Genomic DNA, 9,133 nt, shown 5'->3' with positions numbered 1-9,133 from the left:
GAACCAGCAGTGGATCCACACCAAGACAAAATCTCCAAATTGCCAGAAAAAGAATTTAGGCCAGTTGTTAAGCTAATCAAGGAGGCACCAGAGAAAGGTAAAGTCCAACTTAAAGAAATGAAAAACATGATACAGGATATGAATGAAAAATTCTTCAGTGAAAAAGATAGCATTAAAAAAAATCACAACTTCTGGAAAAAAAAGGACACACTTAGAGAAATGCAAAGTGCACTAGAAAGTCTCAGCAATAGAATTGAACAAGCAGAAGAAAGAACCTCAGAGCTTGAAGACAAGGCTTTTGAATTAACCTAATCCATCAATGACAAAGAAAAAAGAATTTAAAAAAATGAACAAAGCCTTCAAGAAGTTTGGGACTATGTTAAACATGCAAACCTAAGAATAATTGGTGTTCCTAAGGAAGAAGAGAAATCTAAAAGTTTAGAAAACATATTTGAGGGAATAATCAAGGAAAGTTCCCCTGCCTTGCTAGAGATCTAGACATCCAAACACAAGAAGCTCAAAGAACACCTGGGAAATTCATTGCAAAAAGATCATTGCCTAGGCACATAGTCATCAGGTTATCTAAAGTCAAAACAGAAAAGAATCTTAAGAGCTGTGAGGCAAAAGCATCAGGTAACCTATAAAGGAAAACCTTCAGATTAACAGCAGATTTCTCAGCAAAAACCCTACAAGCTAGAAGGGATTAGGGTCCTATTTTAGCCTCCTTAAACAAAACAATTTCAGCCAAGAATGTTGTATCCAGCGAAACTAAGCTTCATAAATGAAGGAAAGATACAGTCTTTTCCAGACAAACAAATGCAGAGAGAATTCACCACTATGAAGCCAGCACTACAAGAACTGCCAAAAGGAGCTCTAAATCTTGAAACAAATCCTCCAAATACACCAAAATAGAACCTTCTTAAGGCATAAATCTCACAGGACCTATATAACAATAACACAATGAAAAAAATCCAAGGTATTCAGACAACAAATTACATGATGAATAGAATAGTACCTCACATCTCAATACTAACATTGAATATAAATGGCCTAAATGCTCCACTTAAAAGATACAGAATGGCAAAATGAATAAGAATTCACCAACCAAGTTTCTGCTGTCTTCAAGAGATTCACCTAGCAAATAAGGACTCACATAAACTTACAGTAAAGAGGTGGAAAAAGATATTCCACGCACATGGACACCAAAAGCAAGCAGGAGCAGCTTGTGAAATGACCACACTGCCTAAAGCAATCTACAAATTCAATGCAATTCCCATCAAAATACCACTCTCATTCTTCATAGAATTAGAAAAAAAAAAATCCTAAAATTCATATGGATCCGAAAAAGAGCTTGCATAGCCAAAGCAAGACTAAGCAAAAAGAACAAATCTGGAGGCATCACATTACCTGAGTTCAAACTATACCATAAGGCCATAGTCACCAAAACAGCATGGTACTGGCAGGAAAATAGGCACAGAGACCAATGGAACACAACAGAGAACCCAGAAATAAAGCCAAGTATGTATAGCCAACTGATCTTCAATAAAGTAAACAAAAACATAAAGCAAGGAAAGGACACCCTTCCTATTCAACAAATGGTGCTGGAATAATTGGCAAGCCACATGTGGAAGAATGAAAACTGGATGTTCATCTCTCACCTTATACAAAAATCAACTCAGGATGGATCAAGGGCTTAAATCTAAGACCTGAAACCATAAAGATTCTAGAAGATAACATCGGAAAAACCCTTCTAGACATTGGCTTAGGCAAAGACTTCATGACCAAGAAGCCAAAAGCAAATGCAACAGAAACAAAGATAAAAAGATGGGACTTAATTAAACTAAAAAGGTTCTGCACAGCAAAAGAAACAATTAGCAGATTTAACAGACAAGACACAGAGTGAGAGAAAATCTTCACAATCTATACATCTGACAAAAGACTAATATCCAGTATCTACAAGGAACTCAAACAAATCAGCAAGTAAAAAACAAACAATCCCATCAAAAAGAGGGCAGAAGACATGAATAGGCAATTCTCAAAAGAAAATATACAAATGGCCAACAAACATATGAGAAAATACTCAACATCACTAATTATCAGGGAAATGCAAATCAAAACCGCAATGTGATACCACCTCACTCCTGCAAGGATAGTCATAATCAAAAATTAATAGATGTTGGTGAGGATGCAGTGAAAAGGAAACAATGTTACAGTGTTGGTGGGAATGTAAACTAATACAACCACTATGAAAAACAGTGTGGCAATTCCTAAAAAACTAAAAGTAGACCTACCGTTTGATCCAGTGAATCCCACTGCTAGGTATCTACCCAAAGGAAAAGAAGTCATTATACAGAAAAGATACTTGCACACGCATGTTTATAGCAGCACAATTTGCAATTGCAGAAATACGGAACAAGCCCAAATGCCCACCAATCAATGAGTGGATAAAGAAAATGTGATACATAATACCATGGAATACTACTCAGACATACAGTGGAATGAAACAATGGTATTCACAACAACCTGGAGGTAATTGGAAACTATTATTCTAAATGAAGTAACTCAGGAATGGAAAACGAGACATTGCATGTTCTCACTCCTATGTGGGAGCTCAAAGGCATAAGAATGATACATTGGACTTTGGGGACTTGGGGGAATGGGTGGGGGGTGGCAAGGGATAAAAGACTACACATTGGGTACAGTGTACACTGCTGGGGTGGTGGGTGCACCAAAATCTCAGAAATCCCCACTAAAGACCTTATTCATATAACAAAACACCACTTGTTCCCCTCAAAACTTTTTTTTTTTTTTTTGAGACGGAGTCTCCCTCTGTTGCCCAGGCTGGAGTGCAGTGGCATAATCTCAGCTCACTGCAAGCTCCACCTCCTGGGTTCACACCATTCTCCTGCCTCAGCCTCCCGAGTAGCTGGGACTACAGGTGCCCGCCACCACGCCCAGATAATTTTTTTTTGTATTTTTAGTAGAGACGGGGTTTCACCTTGTTAGCCAGGATGGTCGTTCCACCCAAAACCTATTAAAAAATGTGTCTACGGCTAGATAATGCAAAGAGGCTCTAATAACAAACCAATGAAATATATTAAGGATTCAAGAGAATTTATGGTGTTACTTCTCCCATGGATATATTAATAGGAATAGGGTGTCTAATTTGGAATTTTAGGCAAAAGATGCTTTTGGACTGGGATAGAGGAAGATTCGCTACAACCCTTTTATTTCATGTAGGTGGCTACCTACTCAGCCCACCAATTAGATTGTCCCTGCTTTGGGTGTAATATTATAAGTCAGGCCAGGTTCTGTTTGGCTGTTCTCCTTCTAATCAGGCTCCAACTCAAATCTCTACCACTGTAGATTTGGTGCTCTCATAACTGGCTTTTAAACAATTGTGTCTAATTTCTTTTTCATTTTTACGTATACTCTTGATATATATCTTTGGCAAGTCAGTGAAAAATGTTTCTTTGTAAATTTGGCCAAAGTCTCTGCCTCAACTAAAGGGAATTGTTAGTCTAAAAAGACTTCTTATTTTTTTGATGGTGATCCCTTTTGGACAGAGCAGGTAACTCACCTGGAAGAATTTCAGAAAGATCAATGGAGCATATGCTAAAGGAACAAATCTATTGAAGCATACATCTACTATTTTTTTTTAGTTTTGGATTTGAAATCTCTCTTTTTCTAACTCTTTTCCCATGATCTCTGTTAAAACAGCTAGCTCTTCAAATCATTAGGAAACTTCATATTGGACTTTTATCTCAATGCTCAAGGCTAGAAGCTGCTGAAGGCTAGAAGCTGCTGAAGGCTAGAAGACAGTGTGTTTTATTTTAAGTTTATCTACATGGCCAATAGCAGGATGCTTTCTAACTGAACTAAATCCCTTTTGTCATTTATTTTTATGATAATAGTAAGATCTGTGAACATTTTGGAGTCTTTGGGATAAAAGAAAATATCATTTTTAACTTTCACTACACTTACCACTCGGGACCATGTATTGTTCATTTTCTCTTAAGAAATCACCCAAATAGATCAACTGCTCCATATGGCTTTGGAGAAATGGAAAATACTGATGGAAAAGGTGCTGGTGACCACAGCAATACACTTGCAATTGCCATTTAGATTATCCCTTTGTAATCCTCTGTTCCACCTCGCTGAGGCTGGTAATGTGAAAACCAAACCAAGTGCCCCCAGTGCATAGCAGAGGGATTGCTGAGCTCCTTGCACCAACCCCATTGCCTCACTCAATCCTTCTCATGTGGATGTGATCTTTTTATGGGCACAGAGTGCCACTCGGGGGCTCCTCATCCCTTCTTTATTTTCTGAGGCAGTGCAGATGTGGCATCAGCATTTGCTCTCGTCTTTCTTGTTGGAAAGACATTTGCTGTTGTAGGATACTGTGCTTAGTTCCTGCTAGTAAGTGGCCTAAACACTTGCTACTCAAAGCGAGGTCCCTAGATGAGCAGAATCAGTATCACCTGGAGGCTAGTCAGAAATGCAGAATACCAGACTCTATCCCAGACCCAGGGAATCAGAATCTGTATTTTAATAAGATCCCTGGTAATTGATACTCACATTAAAGTTTAAGTTGGAGAAGCACAGCTTTATGTTGCTTCATTTATTCAGCTTCGGTTGCCAGAGAAGACTCACAGAGAAGTGCCACAGACATTACATTTCTGATTTGTTCCCTGGCCCTTGTGTCCTCAGGTAGGAAAGTGCGGTGGTCTACGTTCTGTCCTAGTTTGACAAGGTAAACCTTTCGATTTTGTGTTTAGGTGTTCTTTCATGCTTAATAGTTGATCTTTGGGAAAAGAAATCAATATTTGCCCACAAGTCATTCATTTTTGGGCCTGTTTCAAAAGAAGAAAAGGGTTGATGAATATTCTTAGCATCTGCCACAGCTTTTATAAAGCTGCAAATCTTTTAGGTCAGCAGAGACTCTGTGATGACTACTAAAGTGTACAAATACTGTTTGAAAAGGCACTGCAAAAAATTTTTACCTAAGGCATGCTGCTTTTTCCTTCAGTGAAGCAGCCAACACAAAGACCACTGGGGCAAGTCTTCAAAGGGGGAGCTTCTCTGCAGAAAGTGGCTCAGTGGGATTTACAACAAAGGACTTCTCAAGATCAACAGCACTTTGCTGACATTGGAGTGGATTGGAGGATTGAAAATAGGATTAAAACAAAATTAAGACACAATAGCAATAGTGGAGAGATCCCGTGGGGCCTGTAATGGGGTCCTGTGGAAGAAGAGGAATAATCGAGCAGTTTTCCTGAGATTCTAATAGGAAGCTGTTGAAGTTGATAAACTGAAGTAGTGTTTCTTTCTTGCATGCTTGAAAATAATTATGATTTCCCCCCATAGATACCAGTACATATAATGTCTGTATGTGACATATTTCTAAGACGTTTTAAAATAGTTGAATTGATTAGCTGTTATTATATGCTTGAGTAAATATAGTTCCTTAAATTCAACTATTTTTGCAGCTCTCCAGTTCAGTTAATATAATTTACATATGTAGACCCAGACACTGACTCTTTAAGCAAATGAAATGACAACATGAGATGGCTCATTTAAGACTGGTTTTTATAATGCTTCTCATGTCAGTATGACAACATTCTCTACTTCCAATTTGGAGAAGAACTTAAGGTATTACAATTTTGAAGCTATTTGGGAAACAAAAATCAAAGTAAGACTGCATATTAAGACTCAGCATCAGAATAGAAATACAAGTGATGGCAGATTTCCCATAAAAACATTAGGGCCTCAGCATATGGTCATACACATTGTGCACTGCACAACTTTAGGGGGTGACATTTACATGGTCTCCATGGATGCCATTCCAGAGTTATAAATGTGGCATCTGTGAATATTGTCATGATCCCAGTGTGTTCTTCATAAATTTTCAGTCTTACTCGTTTTTGGTAAAATTTTAAATTCTCTAATTAGTTTAGAGTCATGTAAAGTTTATAAAATAGCTCCAAAACACTCTTTACATATTTTTCCATTTAATGTATGAAATCTTATGAAGTGAAAAGCCAGCGGTTTTTTTCAAAAATGGAGGAACATGCTGGAATACTGTTTTGGAAACTCTTTCTCGGAATTACAGTCGTACACTGGCATTTATACAAAGATACAAGCTCAAGTGGCATTATATAATAAAATATTTTATCAGTGTTACTCACTGTTGTATGTTGATTGAGAGTGTGTGGTGTGGAGTCCATGCCTGAAATGGAATCTACCCTCTTTCACTAACGAGTTCTGTGTTCTTCTTAACCTTCTTTATCTGGAACACGAGGATGGTGATAGTATCTACCTACTTCATGTAAGTTGCTATGAAGATTATATGTGATGATCCACATAAGCCACTATGAATAGCATCTGGCATAGACTGTAAATAAACATTAGGAACTATCCATTTTAATCTAATAGACGCAAGTTCTGAATCCAGCCAAGTTCACATTTAGCTTTATCATGGAAACAAAAGAGGAAGAAAAGATCATTTAAACCCTACATTTACAGGTAGAATATACTATGAGGGAAATGGTAACTTTTACTCTGTTCATCCTCTTCTTCCTGGTGTGCATTATAAAGAAATAGGATGAATGTCATTGAAAAGACTTTGGGTATTTTCTGGGCCGATTGTTAAAACTTCTGCTTTCTTACTTCTTTCCTTTATCACAAGGTGAGTAGGAGCTGTCCACCAAATATATCTGGTTATCCCTAGCTCACGGAGGAATTGTACTTCCCTGCCCACATGAACTTGGGTGATGCCATGTGGCTTGCTTTGACCAATGAAGTGTGAGAACAAGTGATGTTTATGACTTTTAGGAAGACTCTTTACTGCTTGATTAATTAAGCTTTCTCCCACTTCTTCAGTGATTGTTTAAACACAAGCAAGTTGGATCCCTGAGAGGCTGTGAGAGCAGAGGCCTATGATGGACACATAGCATGAGGCAGATATAAAACTGCTGTGGTTTCAAACTGCTGAGATCTCGAGGGTTGCTTGTTATTGCAGCATAACTTGCCCAATGTAACTTCCTTAGGGAAACTTGTGAGGGCATTACACAGTGTTGGTTCTCAGACATGCTGTGAGTGAAAGTGGCAGATTATGTTCTGGAGATGGTCAGTGTGTGGCATTCCTTGTATATATTAATCTTCTGAGTTTTTTAACATTAGAAAATCTAGGAATTATGTTAATAAATTATATAGTAAGCCTTGAGTAATTAATATTACATATTAAAACATAATTCCATGTCTTAAAATTAAACATTGGACCTCTAATAAATTAATCTTGCCTAGTTAAGTCTAACTTTTTTTTTCTTGAGTTGAGAACAGAATAGAGTCCAACAGACTCTAGTTAGGTTGAATATTGAATACATTTCAATATGTTTGAGGTTGAATATGTTTCCGTATATGACCCTTAATCTCTTGTATTTCTGAAGAATTCCAAGTAAAACTGATTGAGGATAAAAGACTGCAAAACTACTAATTTTCTCAAGAGAAAATAGGAGAATATTAGAATACACACAAAGCAATTCTTTTTTGTAACATGGCATTGAGCCAGCAATCAGATATAAAATCATCATTGATTCTTATATATTATTCATGGTATTGTGAGAATGTGATATACATGCAATGCAGCAATGATTGCTATATTCTGAAGTGTTTTAAACCCACTCTAAAGAAAATAGAAAAGTGTCTCACAAAAAATCCTTTGAAAACTGTGGAATTAAAAACATTACTAAAAGTCTAACAGGATTAGAAAAATATTAAAGGGTTTAGAAAACAAAGTATTGTGCATTTATTTCTAGAATAGAAAATTTGTATTTTATACACTTAAAATGTTATTCTATAGCTGATTGAAAGACATAAATAGACAAAACCATGGATTCATAAGCAGTAATTTCTCTGATAAACAAATTTCATTAGGAAAATAGACATAAATAATATGAAAAACTAATGTTTTCAAAAGCTTAACTAAAAATATGAAAAGGAAGACAGGCAACTGACTTATCCAAAATTAAATTCTGTATTTCATAGGACATTTTAAAGTTCTGTATTCACCAATCATATCCATTTTGCTGTATTTTAAATAAAATTGTCTTAAGTTCCAATGTTGTTTTAAAAATTAATCTTAGCTGGGCGTGGTGGCTCATGCCTGTAATCCCAGCACTTTGGGAGGCTGAGGTGGGCTGATCTTGGCCACCTCAGGCCACTGCCTGTACTGGTCACTGTACAGACAGTCTGGCCACTGTCTCTACTGAAAAAAAAAAAAAAAAAAAAAAAACTACAAAAATTAGCCAGGAGCAGTGGAAGGTGCCTGTAATCCCAGCTACTCAGGAGGCTGAGGCAGGAGAATTGCTTGAACCCAGGCGGCAGAGGTTGTAGTGAGCTGAGACCGCGCCACTGCACTCCAGCCTGGGCGACAAAGTGAGACTCCATCTCAAAAAAATATAATAATAATAAAATAAAAATAAAAATTATTCTTGATTATTCTGTTATCTTAGCGATAGGTGATAGATGTATCTAGGGTTAGATGAATTTTTACTCTCACCAGTATACGCAGTTTTAGTTACCTATTAAGAATGACACTAGCTTGTTTATTCAGTAACTCACATTGAAGATTTTTCTATGTCCCTGCTTAATAGTATGTTATTTATTTATTTTTTGAGACAGAGTCTTGCTCTGTCACCCAGGCTGGAGTGCAGTGGCACGATCTCGGCTCACTGCAACCTCTGCCTCCCGGGTTCAAGTGATTCTCCTGCCTCAGCCTCCCGAGTAGCTGGGATTATAGGTATGCACCACCACGCCTGGCTAATTTTTGTATTTTGAGTAGAGACGGGGTTTTACCATGTTAGTGAGGCTGGTCTCGAACTCCTGACCTCTGGTGAACTGCCCGCTTTGGCCTCCCAAAGTGCTGGGATTACAGGCGTGAGCTACTGCACCCGGCCAATAGTATGTTATTTTTACAAAGGTTATTTCATGTAATCGTCCTTCCTCATTATAGAGGTGAGAAAACTGAACCTCAGAGAGAGTAAAGGAGTCACTGAAGGGCATTGGTACAGAGAAACTTCTGTGGGCCATCTTCAAAAATGTGTAGCCTATTGCAGATCTTACTAGCCCACAT

Source organism: Homo sapiens, chromosome 4 (genome assembly GCF_000001405.40).
Source record: "Homo sapiens chromosome 4, GRCh38.p14 Primary Assembly".
In the NCBI taxonomy this organism is placed as follows: domain Eukaryota; kingdom Metazoa; phylum Chordata; class Mammalia; order Primates; family Hominidae; genus Homo; species Homo sapiens.
This window is presented reverse-complemented; position numbering follows the sequence as displayed.